We start from the raw sequence: 18,961 nt of genomic DNA, 5'->3' as shown, positions 1-18,961 counted from the left end.
TACTAAAAATACAAAAATTAGCCAGGCATGGTGGTGGGCACCTGTAGTCCCAGCTACTTGGGAGGCTGAGACAGGAGAATCGCTTGAACCTGGGAGGTGGAAGTTGCAGTGAGCCGAGATCACGCTGCTGCACTCCAGCCTGGTGACAGAGCGAGACTCCATCTCAAAAATAAAAATAAAAAAAGAAGCAGAACTCAAGGTAAGTCTCGTGGCAGCCAAAAAATGCAAATGTGATCGAGTGGAAGGAAGGTAGTGCAGGATGGAATTTATGGCCTGGGTTTCAATGAGAAAAACCACAGGTAAAATAATTTTCTAGGTAGCAAGATCACATGCTAAGTGATCAGAACAAAGCAACTCAGGATGGACCCCTCAAGAGCTGCTAGATTCCTTCTATTTTTAGTGCTGCACCTCAAATTAGTTGTCATTATTCTTACAGAAATGTTAAAGCTCAGAAAATGATATCCCAATATGAGGGACTCAGAAGCATGTTTCTCTGACCTCGTTCCCTCCTGTCTCTGGCCTCTTACTCTCCCCCAAGGTTAGGCATAGAAACTAGAATTCCCCTTCCTGAAGGCGGGTCATAGAAGCCAGAACCCCTTTCCCCTAAAGCCAGCCATAAAACCTAAAAATACTACTCTAACTGCCCCCTACACTCCTCCCCACTTCTGTATAAAAACTAGCCGTAAAGAACTTATCTGACTTGTTTGACTGTAGGTCATAACACCTGCATTCCAGAGAGGGGCCTGCCTCATACCCAGAAGGAAGGAAAGCTTCAGAGAGGCCCAGAAATCTAAACAGACAGGCGTTGCTGAGCTTCCCCACTCAGTCTGTTACCATTAGATCATTCCCTTTTTGCCCAATCGTGTTTCAACACAGCTGTTCATCCTTTGTTGAATCTAAGCATAAAAATGGACAATTTCTCCTGTCTCTTTGGCTCTTCATTCTGAAGGCTCCCGTGTCATGCAAAACTATGACCAAATGAATTTGTATGCCTTTTCTCTTGTTAATCTGCCTTTTGTCAGTGATTTTCAGTGAACCTTCAGAGTGTGACAGGGAAGTTTTCCCTTGGCCCCCACAGAAAGAACTATTTTCCTATTAGGGGATGGGGAAAATGAATTAAAATTGTGTTTGTTTCATAGGTGAGCTATTTCTGGACTAGTAAATGCTACAACTGATGTTATTTTGTTATTGTTCTTTTCTGTGTTTGCAAGTTCCACAGAGACAGGTACAGAAATACCTCTTTTGTCATTAATATCTATCATAAGATCTGAGTAGGTATTAATGTAAGAACCTTGATAATTTATTCATTCACCTCCTCAACAGTTACAGAGTCAAACTGTTGTGGAAGTAACCCAATTAGGGTGTCTCTGTGTGTGTGTGTGTGTGTGTGTGTGTGTGTGTGTGTCTGTGTGTGTCTGTGTGTTTGCAGGGTTGAGGTAGTGGGCTGAAATAGATTATTCACATTCTCAGCTGAGAGCTTGCAGTCTTTTAGGGAGACACATATAAACAATTAGCTGTAGAAATTATTTTGCGAAGTATAAAGAAAATTGACTTTGGAATCCCAAAGTCTTGGATTCTGATCCTGGCTCCTACGTTTACTTCACTTTAGTAAGACCTCGGGTGAACCATTCAGCCTTAATTAGACCAAGTTTCTCATCTCTAAAATGTAAAGTTGCTGTGAAGATTCAACTAATGAGGATTAAATGAATTATAGCATATAAAGTACCTATTCAAATGCTTGACACAAAGTAGACAAAAGTAGTTTTATTTTTAAGTTCTTATATATGTATTAAAAAAAAGTGGTGTTGGTTCTGAAATGAAGGGCTAATTTATTCTGATTGTGAAGGCCAGGGAAGAAATTTAAGGATACATATCACTTTGGTGAGTACAGAAGAGGCAAAAAGTTAGAAAATCATGGGTTTATGGAAATGCAGGAACAGTGCACACTCTGGTGAGGCTCCAGTGTAATTTGTATGATGCTATTTCATGGTGGATGGTTCTGGAAAGGAACCGTCCTTTTAGGTTGACAGGCCAAGGAGTTTGTTCTTTATTCTGCTTTTATGTAGGATGACTAAAGGCAGGAAATTTTCATGATCTGACACACCTTTAGGAAAAGAAGTCCATTAGAGAATGAAAGATGCATTGCAGAAATTAGATCCATGAGTAGCAGATCAGTCAGGAAACTCTTGAAATCCCTCAGGCAGATGAACTGAATTAGAGAAGTGGGGTAGGCATAGTGACAAAGGGACATTTCAAAGGATATTGGGGTGGTAGAATTAACAAGATTTGGCAAGTGAACCAGAGAAAGCTGATGATTCCCAGGTGTCTTACAGAGGTGACCAGAAGTGGTAATCAAAGTAAAGAATATAACATAGGGAGAAGGTATGGGGAGGAAAGATGATTTCTCTTTTGATAGATTGGGACTGATGTATCAACAGGACTTGAAGATATCAGCAGGTAGTTGAAAATCTTGGACTGGAGTTGGGGAGAAAAATTAGGGTTGGATTTTGCACTTGGAAGTCTGGACATGGAGGTGATCAGATGAAACTAACCAGGAATTGAATGAGAAAGTGCAGTGAGAAATTTAATGAGAAACTGAGGAGAGTTGGGGGCAGAACAGAATCTTGGGAAATGTCTTCATTCAAAGATGAACAGAAACTAAACTAAGCAATAATCCGGGGGCAGTGGATGAAATTCAGGAAGGTCTAGACTCATGGAAGCTAAAGGAGAGGGAGCTTTAGGAAGACGGTTTTGGTTGCCTGCAGTTATGGTCCTGGAACTCCACTGTGAAACAAGAGGTTGGAGGGGCAGGGGAATGTGTTGCTCTTAGTTTCCACATGAGAAAAATTAGGATGCAAAGGATGTAGGGAAGGAGCTAATTTAAGTCAACCAGTGCATCCCTATTAGAGCCAGAATTAGCATCTGGGTTGTCTGACTCCAGCTTGAGTTTGTCAACCTCTTTGTCAAAGATTTTCTGAATGATCAAATCATGGGAAGAATTTGATCTGGGTGTTGGTTACATGGACGTGTTTAGTTTGTGAAAATTCATTGAGCAGTACCTTTAAGATATAAATAAGTATTTTTCTGCCGGTTTGCAGCAATTAAAAGCTTTTTTTAAAAAAATCATGGGAAAGAGAGAGAAAAGGAACACTTTTTGAAAAAAGTAAGGTAATATTTAAATATCTCATTAATGTAAGCTTCATTAATTTTTTGTTATTATTTTCAGTTCCAGATCACCTGTTATAGTTGTTTGTGTTAAATTTGGGGTATAATTTATTTTCACATGAGATTAACTTCAGTGGTCGCCTTAACTGAAGGAACCAAGGCTTTGGAGTTGTTACTAATAATTTCAGTAAAATTCATCTAACGTTTATTTTGTATTTATATGTTAGGGTTATTACATTGTATAATTTTATTTAATCTTCATACAGGCAGAGGAAGCAAGTACTTCTGCCACCCACATTTTGCAGATGAAGGATCTAAATGCTAGACATGCTATATGACCTGTCAAAGGTCCTACAGCTAGCAGGCAGTACAGCTTGAATTCTAACCCCTTCTGTGTGATGATAGCAGTAGTTTTTCTGATTGACGGACTGAGGTTCATCAATATCCTGACACTGACTAGTTGTCAGCTAAAAACAGAGTAACTATATTTATTTTCATCTAGAGAAACATAGTAGATATCTGCTGTTGTTTTCATTCCCATCATCCTTTCTCTTTTTTTTTTTTTTCTGGAAGCCACAGCTTATTTTGAAAGGGAAGAGGACTAGACTTCTGTCATTCATTCCATTAAAATCCTCACATGTTTTGGCTTTTTCTTGCCTTATTGCATTGACTAGGACCTCTTGTACATGTCAAATGTAAGTAACACTGGCATTTTTTACTTTGTTCTTGATTTTAGAGGAAAAATTTTTAATATTTTACCATTCTGTATAATGTTTGCTGGAAGTTATTTCTAGATACTGTTTACTAAATAAATAAAGTCCTTTTTTTTTTGAGACAGTCTCACTCTGTCACCAGGCTGGAGTGCAGTGGCGCAATCTCAGCTCAGTGCAACCTCAGCCTCCCAAGCAGCTGAGACTATAGGCATGCCACCACACCCAGCTAATTTTTGTATTTTTTTTAGTACAGATGAGGTTTCACCATGTTGGCTGGGATGGTCTTGATCTCTTGACTTCATGATCCGCCCGCCTCGGCCTCCCGAAGTGCTGGGATTACAGGCGTGAGACCGGCCAATAAAGTCTTTTTTTTTTATTCTTTGTTTGCTAAGGGCTTTTATTATAAATAAATCAGATAAATAATCAGATGACTTCTTTTTTTTACATTTCTTGAGATGATTGTTTCCTTTTATTCTCTTCATATGGTGAATTACATTAACTGATTTTACATGTTATGCCAATTTTCCATTCTTGGAATAAACCGAACTAGGCTGTTTGGTTGTATATTATCTTTTTTCTATATTAATGGATTTGGTTAGCACAAATTTGTAATATTTTTGCATACGGGTTTATGACAATGATTGGTGTTTGATTTTTCTTGTAAAGTCCTTGTCAGGTTTGATATGAAGATTATGGTAACCTCAAAAAAACAGCTGGAAAATGTTCCACGTTTTTTCTGTTTCCTGAAAGAACTTAACGTAAGATTGGTATTTTGTTTTTCCAAATGTGTTTGGTAAAATTTACCAGTAACAACACTGAGGTTATAGATTTTCCTATGAAAAGTTTTAAAATTATAAATGTATTTTCTTTCACAAATATAGAAATATTCATATTTTTAGAAATGATACGTTTTCTTGTGTCAGTTTAGTTAGCTTGTGTTTTTTCAGAAATTTGTTCATTTTATGTCAATTTTCAAATGCATTGGCATACAGCTATTCAAAATATTCTATTACCTTTTTAATGCCTATGTGAGCTGTAATAATCTCATTGTTCATTATGGATTTTTTTCTGCCTTTTTTATGATCAGGGTATTGACAAGTTATCATCAACTATATTAGCCTTTTCAAAGAACCACCTTTTTTCTTAGTTATTCTTCTATTATGTGTTTGCTTCAGTTATATTGATTTCCACTCTTATTTTTTATTGTTTTCTAGTTTTCACTTTATTTGCATTTAATTTGCTCTTTGTTGATTTTTTGAGTTTAGTGCTTAATCGTTGATTTTTCAGCCTTTGTCTCATGTATATATTAAATATAAATTTCTTTCTAAGCATGACTTTACCTGAACCTTACAAGTATTGAGATGTTACATTATCATTATTATTTCAAACTATTTTTAAATTTCTCTTGTAATTTCTTCTCTTGCTCATGAATTATTGAAAAATAGTCTATGTTCCAAGTCCATGATATTTTCTACTTATTTTTCTTACCCATTTCTAGGTTAACTCCATTTAGGTTGGAAAATATACTTCACATTTCCAAACCTTTGAAACTAGGTAGGTAGGTAGGTAGGTAGACAGATAGATAGATAGATAGATAGATAATGTTTAATTTTGGTAAATTATGCATTTGGGAAGAATATTATTATACAGTAGTAATGTTTTGAATATTTCAACTAGATCAAGTTTGCAATCTTTTTTTTTTTTTTTGGTCTTTTATCTCTTTACTGATTGTTTTTTTCTGCCTGGTCCATCAGTTAATAAGTATATGTATGGAAATCTCTCACTACAATTTTGAATTTTTATATATCTCCTTTTACTTCTAATAATTTACCTTTGTATATTCTGACACTATTTATTAACTGTGCACAAGTTTTAAAATGTGTCTTCCTCATGGATTGACTGTTCTATCATTATGGAAAGTGATCTTTATCTCTAGTGGTGCTTCTTGCTATACCATCTACTTTGAGATTAAGATACTTTGATTAGGCCGGGCGCGGTGGCTCACGCCTGTAATCCCAGCACTTTGGGAGGCCGAGGCGGGCGGATCACGAGGTCAGGAGATCGAGACCATCCCGGCTAAAACGGTGAAACCCCGTCTCTACTAAAAATACAAAAAATTAGCCGGGCGTAGTGGCGGGCGCCTGTAGTCCCAGCTACTTGGGAGGCTGAGGCAGGAGAATGGCGTGAACCCGGGAGGCGGAGCTTGCAGTGAGCCGAGATCCCGCCACTGCACTCCAGCCTGGGCGACAGAGCGAGACTCCGTCTCAAAAAAAAAAAAAAAAAAAAAGATACTTTGATTAGTATTTTTATGGTATATATATTTTCTATTTTTAGTTTCAACTTTTTTATATTCTTATATTTAAGGTGAGTCTCTTGTGTCATATAATTATTTTTTAAATCCAGCCTGAAAATGTTTGTTATTTAATTGGAGTGTTTAGTCCATTTACATTTAATGTTATTGATATATTAAGTTTAAAATCTAGAACTTTACATTTATTTTCTAATTAACCCAGCATATTCCTTATTTGTTCTTTTTTTTTTTTTTTTACATTCTTTTGGATGGATTCAGTATTATTTATTTTTCCCTTTCTCCCCAGTACTAGCTGGTCAGATACACATTCTTTTACCATTGTATTAGTGCTTACCCTAGCTTATGAAATATAATACATCCCTGAAATTCAAGTCTAACATAAATTACTATTTTTACCAACACCAACTCAATGCAAAAGTTAGAATACACTTTAGCCTCATTTACCCATACTCTAATTTATGTTCTCATGTGTTACAATTTTCTAAATACTTAAGAATCCATAAGACTTTAGTATTATTGTTTTATAGTCAATATTCACTTGTGTTTATCCACATATTTACTCCTTTTAGTTACTCTTCATTCCTTTCTGCATCGCCAAATTTTTGTTCTTCAATAAATTGTATCACCTTATTTAATCTTTTAAATATTTTAATCACTGTTATCTTAAAGTTCCTATCAGATAAATACAATAACTGCATTTCTCATGGATATTTGTGTGCACTGTCTGGTTTTTCTTTCCCTCTTGTTAGCTGGTCAAATATTTTTAATATGCTATTTTGAGGCTTAAATGAATGTTTTTCTCCATGCTCTCTGATGACTTCAAACAGATGGGGTTTTTTTTTACACATTTTTTAGTACAAATTTACTTCTTCTTGAATATCCTTTAGTATTTTCTCTGTTCATCTGCTGCTGGTGCATTCAGTTCTTATTTGTGTGAAAATGCTTTTATTTTGTGAATTTTTGTATTGCACTTAATACTGATACATAATTACAGGTTGACCTCTGCCCCCACCCCTTTCTAAAGATATCTTTCTACTGTCTTCTGGCTTCCATTGTTTCAATTAAGAAGTCAGCTATTAGCTGTCATTCTTATTGTCCCCCCTTTGAAGTTAATACACTTTTTTCTCTATCTCTTTCTTTTTTTAAGATTTCTCTTTGACTTTGGTTTTCAGAAATTTAACTATGATGCATCTAGCTATGTGGTTTTCTTTGTATTCTTTCTTCTTAAGGCTCATAGCATTTCTTGAATAAAGTATTTGATCAGTTTGGAAAAATCCTCAGCAACTATCTTTTCAAATATTGCTTGTGCCCCATTTTTCTTTTCATTGTCTTACTGAAATTTCAGTTACATGTGTATTAGATCTTTTCATTGTACCTGTCCCATAAATTTTGCATGCTCTTTTCTTTATTTTCTGTAATTTTTTCTCCCTCTTTTGTTCTCAATATTTATTTCTGACCTATCTTCCAATTCACTATTTTTTCAATAGTCCTGTATGTCTTATTGTTACATCTATCTGTAAAGTTCTTAATTTCAGTTCTAGAATTTATATTTTCTTTGTTTTTATAATTTTTTGTTCTTCACTGAATTGTATTGCCTTATTTAATCTTTTAAACATTTTAATCACTGTTATCTTAAGTCCTATCAGATAAATACAACAACTGCATTTCTCATGGATAATTTTGCACTGTCTGGTTTTCTTTCCCTCTTGTTAGCTGGTCAAATCTTTATTTATTTATTTATTTATTTATTTTAGATGGAGTCTTGCTCTTTTCACCCAGGCTGGAGTGCAATGGCGCGATCTCGGCTCACTGCACCCTCTGCCTCCCGGGTTCGAGTGATTCTTCTGCCTCAGCTTCCTGAGTAGCTGGGATTACAGGTGCCCGCCACCATGCCCAGCTAATTTTTGTATTTTTAGTAGAGACGGGGTTTCACCACATTGGCCAGGCTGGTCTCGAACTCCTGACCTCAGGTGATCCGCCCACCTGAGCTTTCCAAAGTGCTGGCATTACAGGCGTGAGCTACCACGCCCCGCTGGTCAAATCTATTTAATATGCTATTAATTTTTCATTGAGTGTCATACATTTTAGATGAAAACTTGCAAGGCATTTTGAGGCTTCAGTGAATGTTTTTCTCCAGGTGGGACTTCAACTTGCTTCTACCAGGCAGCTAAGTGAGATGCCAATCACCTTAATCCTTTAGGACTTGAGCTGACCTAAAACTTTTCTTAAACCTTTATAAGGCTTGTTCTATTTTCTGTTTACACTCACTTGCAGGGTGAAGCCCTGTAGATTGCAGAGTGATATCCTAAGTCTTTATCCAAGGATTTTTCATTCCTGGAAGGCACTAAACTCAAATTTGTGTTGTCCTTCTCAGTGCGACTTTTAAATACTCCTGTCAACCTCCAAGCCTTTAGTAACTGCTTTGGGGGGTGAACATCTCTTGGCTTGCCTCTGTCAGATTATTTGCCCTGAAGCCCCTCTTTACCTTGATGGCTCTCTGATGACTTCAAACAGATGGGTTTTGGACATTTTGTTCAGCCTTTATAGTTATTTTCAGTAGGAAATTGGTGCAAAATAAACTGATCTCCATTGCCATAAGCAGAAGTTAGCTTCATTTCTTTTTTTAAAGAACAAAAGCCTTGCCTTTGCAGTTTTTTTAGATTATTCATTTTCTGAAAGTCAGTGGCTTTACTGAGTTTAGGGAATAAATTCCATCCAGAGGCATGAGAAAGTTGGAGGCTCCATCGCCGACTTGTTAGAATATAGCTTTTAGTTAGAGCTACACTGCAGACATTTCTTCACAATTTCATCTGATTTAGCACCAGTTGTTAGGCTTCATAATTCAAGTCCAAGAGTCTATTATACTGATAAAATTCTTTAAAAAATTATATTTCAGTTGAATGTCCATTGGTGCCCAGAGGTAGCAAGCTGTAGAATATGGGATGTGAAATTTTGTCTTTTCTCAATATAATTTTTGCTTTTATTGGGTTTCAAGGAAAGCTGAACAAAAATCTAAGAGAAAATGATGACAAAAATGTAGACAAAATTAAGTAAAGAAAATTAGGACATAAAGTTAGAAGAAGAAAAAATTTAGGTTTGGTGTAGGTGAAATAAATTAAAGACTAATATGTATTGTGCTGTCTAACGAATATAGACAGTGCTTATGTTCATCCAGAACTAGAGATTTCTACAGAAGAGCAGAAAATCAACAATTTAAATGGTGATGAGGGAATTCCTAAGAGAGTATTGCTGGAGTGTTGTGTTTGTCTTCCATATCAACTAGCATGATTTATTCCCATGTTCCAAGCATATTCCAGGAACATTCATTCAGATGCTTCATCTCCTAGAGTGAAAATTAATAGTGAATTATATCAAAGGAAATCTGAGTTTCTGGGAAAGAAGGTGTTATTTTGTGGCAGAGGGAATCCTTCTTTGCTGATCTCACCTGAAAGTCACATTCTTTCCTCTGACTTTCTGTAGCAGAAGTCTCAGTCTTAACATACATTCAAGTGTTTGTGTACTGCCTGTTTCCAGACCCTGTCCCTACTTGGTATGAAACTCAATCTTCTCAAATTGTATAAGTACTCTAGATCCTTCCGGAGAAGCATGATGAAGACTGCTCTAGACCATTTGTCTATATGTATTTAATTTATGCTTATTGAACATATGTTAAGCAACTAAACACTATATCCAAATGTGGTGTTATAAATTCAGGCAGGATGAATTGATTGATAATATCAGCTAGATGAGACACAGTAGTTGGAAATCACATTAGCTAATTTTCAGGATCCATGATGTTAGAAGTTATCATTCTAAGAGACCTGACCAAACATGGCGGGGACCAACTCCATGTGGTAACACAGGAGAGTGGCAAAGACAGTCTGAGGCCCAGATCCAGGGGGATACTCAAGACCATCTTCAGGAGCAGTGAGCAATGGATGAGGTCTTGCGGGAGAATTAGGTTTGAATAATTCTTGGCTTAGCCATGTGATTATGGGCTTAGGGAGGACAAATGATTCAAAATTAGCTTAGGAGTTTACTTAAGTCTGATCTTATAGGTTGTAAGAAAGGGAAGGAAGAAGGCTGTAGACAAGGACAATTTAGAGTTCCCAATACAAACATTTGTGTTATATTTAAATGACATTTTAAATCCTATCCTAGAGATGTGTGGCCCATTCTATGTCATTCTTCAGAACCTGCCCATTATTATAGTTCTTTGGATACAGGTTTTATGGATTTTCTGAAAGAGGCTATGCCTTTGTACCTTAATTTTCTCCATTGTGTTTAGCATAAGAGTACTTAAAAAGTAGGTGCTGAAAATATTTTTTCAAGTCAGTATAATATGTGTGATTTTTAAAATATCTCTACTGGCTAGATGGATGTTGAATTCAGCCCTTGGATTTTCCTGAACTCTTGGTACTGTGGGGCTCTGAACTTGCCTTGGGAGTGAGGCAGGAATGAAGTGAGGAGTGAGAAAGAGAAAGTCCTCCTGATTTTCTGTTTTCTTCTATTTTCTTCTTCTCTCACCTGGGCTCTTTTCTGATGGGGAATAGCAGATTGGCCCACCAAGGAAAAATGTCACGAAAAGGAATTTGTTTCATGGATAAATTATTCATGTTTTGACTAGGCCTATTTTATGTACCAGAAATTCATCTTGACCAATTCATTTAAAACTAAATCCTGGATGACTTCTGTTTCTAGAAGCTGAAGTAGGCATTCTTTGCCTTTTCATCCCACTAAGTAAAAATTCTGAACATTATACATAAAATATACATAAAGGACTCTGAAAAGTGGAGAAAAGAAACATTTGAGCTGGGGCCTTTGGGACCTGAAAAACCACATGGCAGTGAGTTCTTAATGCTAAAGAACTAGAATCCTGGAAATGCGGACAGGTGCAGACAGAAAATAAAACCAAGCCAAATCAAAATCAAAGCAAACCAAACACACACACACACACACACACACACACACACACGTGCAGACAGAAAATAAAACCAAGCCAAATCAAAATCAAAGCAAAACACACACACACACACACACACACACACACACACACACACACACACACCTGTTTTCTCTAGCCAAATGATCAGGAAAGGGCCAGGCTGGCAAGATATGGAGCTTTTAGATAATAACCTTTCTATTCCAGCCAAACACCACAGAAAGAAGTTTGGCCCCGCCTCTGCTCATGTTAGCAAAGCCTGAGTAGAAAACGTAGACTTTGACCTTTGTGAGGCTCTGTTGAGACCAAACACCCTCACCTGGGTGATAACAGAGGCAGCCCAGGAAGGAGCCTGAATTTACATCTCTGTTAGATGGTAGTGAGGCACCCCTGCCCGCATATGAACAACTCTATACACATGAATTTGACAACTTAGATGAAGCAGGCCAATTCCAAACAAATTACAAGTAAACCAACATGAAATCGAGAATTTGAATGGCCCTATGACTATTAAGGAACTTAAATTTATAATCTAAAACTCCCCAAAAAGAAATATCTAGGTCCAGATGATTTCACCAGAGAATTCAACCAAAAGCTTAAAGAAAAATTAACACCAATTCACAATCTCTTCCAGACAAAAGAGTAGAAGATACCTCTCAAATCATTTTATGAAGTAGTATTACCTTGAACCAAAACCAAAGGCAGTTCAAAAAAGGAAACTAAAGAGCGATGTATCTCCTAAATATAAATAAAAATGTCTTTAACAAAATATTAGCACATAGAATTCAGCAACATATAAAGAGTTATACATCATAATCAAAGTGGGATTTCTTCTAGAAATGCAAGGATGATTCATTGTTTGAAAATCAGTCAATGTGTTTAATTGTATTAACAGGCTAAAGAAAAAAAGGCTCACATGATCATATCAACTAATTCAGAAAAAGCATTTAAAAAAATTAAATACTCATTTATGATAAAAAAATTCTCATAAAAATAACAATAGTGGAGGCCGGGCACGGTGGCTCACTCCTGTAATCCCTCCCTTTGGGAGGCTAAGGAGGGTGGATCACAAGGTCAAGAGATCGAGACCATCCTGGCCAACATGGTGAAATCCCATCTCTACCAAAAATACAAAAATTAGCTGAATGTGGTGGCGTGCACCTGTAGTCCCAGCTACTTGGGAGGCTGAGGCAGGAGAATGGCATAAACCCAGGAGGCGGAGGTTGCAGTGAGCCAAGATCGCACCACTGCACTCCAGCCTGGCGACAGAGCAAGACTCCGTCGCAAAAAAAAAAAATGGCAATAGCGGAGAATTTTCACAACGTGATAAAGAACATCTATCCCCTCTGCAAGAAAACTACAGCTAACATTACACTTAATGGCTAGAACCTGAAAGCTTTTTCCCTTCAATTAGAAACAGGTTCCACCACTTTTATTCAACATAGTGCTGGAAGGTATTGCTAATGCAATAAGATGGGGCTGGGGGAAGGCATACAAACCAGGAAGGAAAAAAAACAGTCACCATTTTCAGATGGAATAATTGTCTATATAGAAAATGAAAAAAATCTACAAAAACATCCACAGAACTGATAAATAAGTTCAGCAAATTCATAAGATAGAAGATAAACATACAAAAATCTGTTGTATTTATCATAGCAATGAACACATGAAAATCAAAATTTAAATTATAACACCATTTACAATAATCAGAAACATTTTAAAGTAAATATTTAGGTGTAAATCTTACAAAATGTACAGAGCTTGTGTGCTGAAAACTACAGTACTAATCAAAGGAAGCACACAAAATGTAAATTAATGGACATAAATGCAATTTTTACTGATTGGAAAACTCGACATAGTAAAGTCTCAGTTCTTCACAAACTGACATACAGATTTAACATAATTCTTATCAAAATATGAGCAAAATTTTTATAAATATTGAGATTATTTTAAAATTCATATGAAAATTCAAAGGAACTAAAATAGCTAAAACAATTTTGAAAAGAAAAATAATGTGATAAAAATAAATCTGCCTCATTTCAAGACTTACTATGTCACTATAGTATCAAGATTATCAGTGGAACAGACACATAAATCCACTAGCAATCAGAATAGATAGTTTGGAACACAATAGATGGTGTGGAAGTATACCCATACAGATAGGACCAGTTGATTTTTTTTTTTGAGACGGAGTCTGCTCTGTCGCCCAGGCTGGAGTGCAGTGGCGCCATCTCGGCTCACTGCAAGCTCCGCCTCCCAGGTTCACGCCATTCTCCTGCCTCAGCCTCCCGAGTAGCTGGGACTACAGGTGCCCACCACCGCGCCCGGCTAAATTTTTGTATTTTTAGTAGAGACGGGGTTTCACCGTGGGCTCGATCTCCTGACCTTGTGATCCGCCCGCCTTGGCCTCCCAAAGTGCTGGGATTACAGACGTGAGCCACCGCGCCCAGCCTGACCAATTGATTTTTTGGACAAAGATTCAAAAGCAATTCAATGAAGGAAACATCACCTTTCAACAAATGATACTAGAGCGATTAAATGTCCATAGACTAAAATAAATGAACCTCAAGTCTCACACCTTGTACAAACTTTAAATATATTAACTCAAAATGGAGCATGGACTTAAATGTAAAATGTAAAACTTTATAAAAAGTGTAAAGAAAAAGCAAAAAATATTCAGAATCTAGTCCTAGGCAAATAGCTCTAAGACTTGATACCGAAAGCATGATTTATAAAAGAAAAAGTGAATAAATTGGACTTTATCAAAATTAAAACCTTTTGCCCTGTGAAAGACTTTGTTAAGTAAGGATGAAAAGCCAAGCTAGAGACCGGAAGAAAATAATGGTAAACCCCATATCTAACAAAGGACTAGTATCTAGAATATAGACTATAGAACTTCTAACACAACAGTAAGAATGCAAACAATTAGACCAAGGGCAAAGATATAAATAAACATTTTACCAAAGTTATACAGATAGCAAATAAGCACATAAAAAGATGTCCAACACCTAGGGAAATAACAATTAAAATCACAATGATATATCACTACATACCTACCTATCAGAACAGTAAAATAAAAATAGTTCAGCCTGGGCAATGTAGCGAGACTCTTGTCTGTACAAAAAAATAAACAAATAAATAAAATTAGCTAGGTGTGGTGGCATGTGTCTGGAGTCCCAGTTACTTGGGAGGCTGAGGTGGGAGGATCGCTTGAGCCCAGGAATTTGAGACCACAGTGAGCTATGACTGCACCACTGAACACCAGCCTGAGCAACAGAGTGAGACCCTGTCTCAAAAAAAAATTCAAAAGTGACAACACCAAATGTTGGTGAGAATGTAGAGGAACTGGAGCACTCGTATATTGTTTGGTTGATAGTTTGAAGTTCTGCTGAATTTCGAAGCCTTCAAAGTATTTTGGTGTGTATTTCCTCATATAATTTGGCAATAATTATTTGAGGTGGTAATAGGAAAGGAATTCTTACTACTTCTCTTCCTAAATAAGTAAACAAATTTGTGGAGTGGCTAATTTACTACCTAAGGTCACACAATAATGTCAGAGAACCATTGACCATAGAAGTCAATTAATATTAGTCTTAGGACTTTTTCTTAGTGTTCCAAGACTATCATGAGGTGGTTTTATTTGTTTCTGTCGTGGTTTATAATCTCAAGCATTTTTTGTAGTAAAACGTCTGAGGATCATTAATAAACCTATGATCATAAGATTTTGTAAATAAAATGTCCATGGATTAAAAGAAAAAAATATATTTTTTCTATTACCAGAGTTTAACACTCTGCTGAAAAGAAATACATAATTATAATTAAGGTTCTCTTTTTATTCTTGCACATATTTCCTGTTTATTGAATACTTTTTTTTCTGAAAACCCACTCAACTATTTAAAAAGTAGATTGGTTATTACTCTTAACATCCTTGTAGACAACTTTCTGTATAATTGTTTAAGGTCTGTCTCTTTTTGTGTGTGTGTGTGTGTGTGTGTGTGTGAGGATAAAAGAAAAGGACTATAATAGAAGTTATATAAAACTCTAACTTTTTTTCATTATTGACACATAATAATTGTATATATTTATGGGGTACCTGTGGTATTTTGATGGCATGCATACAATGTGTAATGATCAAGTTATGGTAATTTGGATATCCATCTCCCAAAACATTTATCATTTCTTTGTGTTGGGAACATTAAATATCTTCTAGATATTTTGAAATATACAGTAAATTATTTTTAACTATCATTACCCTACTCTGCTGACACTACAACTTATTCCTTCTATTTAGTTTTATGTTTGTACCCATTTACCATCCTCTCTTCATCTCTCCCTTCTCCTTCCCTTCCTACCCCACTTTTATTTTCAGATAATGTTGCAATGCAATCAGTGAAGTAGATCTTTGTTAGCTTATATCGTGTGATCTGACACCAAAATCAGTAATGGAATTAAGCTAAACAGTTCCTTTATTAGATAAAACAAACATGCTTCAAGGTGAAGCTAGCCATAGAAAGTAACTTTCAGGTTTCTTTATTGAGAAATGAGGCAAGAGAGATAAGTGGCAGTATATACTTGGTTAATGTTAATTTCTTTATAAAGCCATTCTGTGTCCCTTAAGTGGGACAACAGCCATGAGGCTAAAAGATGAGAACTTTGGCATTCCACCTTTATTGAGCTGTACTGCATATTAGAGCTTTATTGAGCTGTACTGCATATAGAGCTGAGACTGAAACGAGACTGCAATTATTCCAAACAACTGGAGTACCTTTTTAAGGAGCCTTCTTTCCTCAAAATAATACTTTTATACTGATATTTAATCATTTTTTCTCCCAAAAGTGGCACTTGAAAAAAAGTGTATAATCTCTAATTCTTAGTGTAAATCTTACCTCCTTCACTTAACTAGCAATGTAGCATTGAATAAGTCATTTATCACTCTAAACTGAATTTTCCTCATCTATAAATGGAGAGCTATTACCTACTTCACAGGATTCCTAGGGAAATGAAATGAGAGTAAAATGCTTGATTTCCAGTAGAATCTTGGTGGATGTTCAGCCTAAATTGAGATTTTATGTAACACTACACTCTCCCTTTTTCTCTTTTCACTCCTTCACAACATCTGCCTTTCCTTTTTTGCCTTCTTTAAAAAAAAATCACAGAGGTTTATACTGGGTCCTTTCCTCTGATTATAACCTTTTCAGTACTTCAAAAATTGTCACAATTTTCTCATTTCTAAACTAGAAAATCTATTCTCGTTTGGCATTCTGGAGAAGTATGTAGGATTTGTTATTAAGGGAGCTTAAGTTTCTATGAGAATAATATGAGTGAATCATGTTACTTGGCAAATGAACAGTTGACGCAAAAGACCTCAAGACCCATCATCTGCTTACATTTCTGTCTTATCCAACATTGAATCCATTGTCATAGCCATATGCTAGTACTGGATAAGAATTATGTTAGATGGCCGGGCGCGGTGGCTCACGCCTGTAATCTCAGCACTTTGGGAGGCCGAGGTAGGTGGATCACCTGAGTTTGGGAGTTCGAGACCAGCCTGACCAACATGGAGAAACCCCGTCTCTACTAAAAATAAAAAAAAAATTAGCCGGGTGTAGTGGTGCATGCCTGTAATCCCAGCTACTTGGGAGGCTGAGGCAGGAGAATTGTTTGAACCTGGGAGGCGGAGGTTGTGGTGAGCCGAGATCACACCATTGCAGTCCAGCCTGGCAACAAGAGCAAAACTCCGTCTCAAAAAAAAAAAAAAAAAATATATATATATATGGTTAGGAAATGTAATTTGAGGGAAAAGAAGTTTGAAGAAGAGCCATAGCAATCAGGTAAAAATGCTAGAAAAAAAACAATCTTAGATGTTGTTTCTTGTGGTCTTTTGCATCAGTTGATAAATTGGACTTAATCAAAATGTGAAACTATGTTACTTTATGAATGTACCAGTATTTGTTTATCTGTTTGCCAGGTGAAGGATATTTGGATTGTTTTCAGATTTGGGAAATTATGAATAAATCCTCTATAAACTTTCATAAGCAGGTTTTTGAGTGAGCATAAAATGTTTTTGAGTGAGTCAGAGTGTGGTTAAGTATCTAGTTTGTGACATTCCTTTATTATTCCTTAAATATTGATGCTGTCTTTGTGATGTTTCCCATTTTTTCCCTGATATTGATAATTTGTAACTTCTCTCTGTTTATCTTGGTCAATCTGGCTAGAAATTTGTCAGTTTTATTCATTTGTTTCTCAGAACCAGATTTTGATTTTCCCGTTGGTTTTGTTTGTTTTCTTGCTTTCAATTTTACTGATATCTTCAGTTAACTTCGTTATTTCTTTCCTTCTGTTTGTTTTGGGTTTAATTTGTTTTTCTTTCTCTAGTTTATTAAGATGGAAACTTAGATGCTCTTTTAAAAATTTAGGCATTTGGTGGTATTAATTTTCATTTAAGCTGTGTCTTGAATGCATACCACAATACTTAATATGTTGTGGTTTTGTGTTTATTTAATTCAAAATATTTTCTAATTTTTTCATTACTTCTTCTTTGGCTTATGGTTATTTAGAAACATGTTTTTAAATTTCACAACATTTGAGGACCTTCCAGCTATTGTTCTGTAATTGAGCTCTATTTTGATCTTTCAGGCAGGAAACATAATTAGTATGATTTTTAGTTTTCATGATTTGTTAAAGTTTGTTTTATAGCTCAGAATACGGTCTAATTTGGTGAAAGTTCTAAAAGCACTTGAAAAAAATGTATATTCTGTTCTTGTTGAGTAGAATATTCTATAGACATTAGATCCACTTGATTGGTACTGTTGTTCATGTCTTCTATATCCTTACCTATTTTTTATTTGTTCTATTAACTGCAGAGAAATTGTGGTTGAAATTGAAATCTCCAGTCATCACTTTGGATTTTTCTATTTCTCTTTTCAGTTCTATCAGTTTTTGCTTCATGAATTTTGAACCTCTGTTGTTAGGTGGTCATAGAGATTTCATATTAAAATAAAATAGAGTAAACCCTTCAGACAAATAGAAACAATAGAAATTTCTGTTTATTTCTTGTTAAGAAGTTATCTTAAAAGCAGAATGATCTTTATACGTAGACCATGTGGACAGTTTCTTGTGATGTCCTTAGACCTGACTAGTGGTTCTCAAAGTTTAATGTTAAAAATGCTATAAGGTTATACACACAAATTCATGTATATTTCATGGATGATTTAAGGAATGTACAAGAATAAACTTTACCTGATTTTTCTGTTGTGGACATACTTTAGAATATTACCTCCTGCAAAAGTCCACTTCCATAATATTTTCTTTTGCCTTCATTCTGCTTAAGAATGTCCAATTCAAAGGTTACTTCCTCAGTCAAACTTCTATGAACTGCTGTTTTCCTCAGTAGATTAATTCAAGCTTTTATAGCTCTTCAAATATATTTCTGTCATGGAACCTGAAATTCTATTGTACAGGTTGCCTATCTGTTATCCAAAATGCTTCAGACCAAAAGTGTTTTGAATTCGGGGTTTTTTTTTGGATTTTGGAATGTTTGCACGTTCATAATGAGATTTCTTGGGGGATGGGGCCTAAATCCAAACACAAAATTTGTTGATGTTTTGTATACACCTTACCCACATAGCCAGAAAATAATTTTATACAATATTTTAAATAAATGGAAATGAAGTTTGTGTTACATCCTTATGAAACAAAGTTTGTGTTAAGTACTTATGTGTGAAACAGGAAATAAAGTGGAACCTTCTACTTGTGTCCTCATGTCAGCACTCAAAAAGTTTTGGATTTTGGAGCATTTCCGATTTGGGAATTTCAAATTAGGGATGCTCA

General features: G+C 35.7%; 1 protein-coding gene across 20 annotated transcripts in view, besides 1 other annotated feature; it reads left to right on the top strand.

Moving 5' to 3' along the window:
* Nucleotides 1-18,961, top strand: part of RGS7 (regulator of G protein signaling 7) — a 582,489-nt gene that overhangs the window by 153,814 nt on the left and 409,714 nt on the right. The gene's annotated exons all lie outside the window — the stretch shown is intronic.
* Nucleotides 11,214-11,508: an enhancer, noted in NCBI's record as "tiled region #3307; HepG2 Activating DNase matched - State 9:DNaseU". NCBI's record gives its function as "activates a minimal TATA promoter and a strong SV40 promoter by Sharpr-MPRA in HepG2 cells {active_cell/tissue: HepG2}" and the evidence as "EXISTENCE:reporter gene assay evidence [ECO:0000049][PMID:27701403]".

The sequence above is a fragment of the Homo sapiens genome, chromosome 1, assembly GCF_000001405.40.
Source record: "Homo sapiens chromosome 1, GRCh38.p14 Primary Assembly".
NCBI lineage: Eukaryota > Metazoa > Chordata > Mammalia > Primates > Hominidae > Homo > Homo sapiens.
This window is presented reverse-complemented; position numbering and strand designations above follow the sequence as displayed.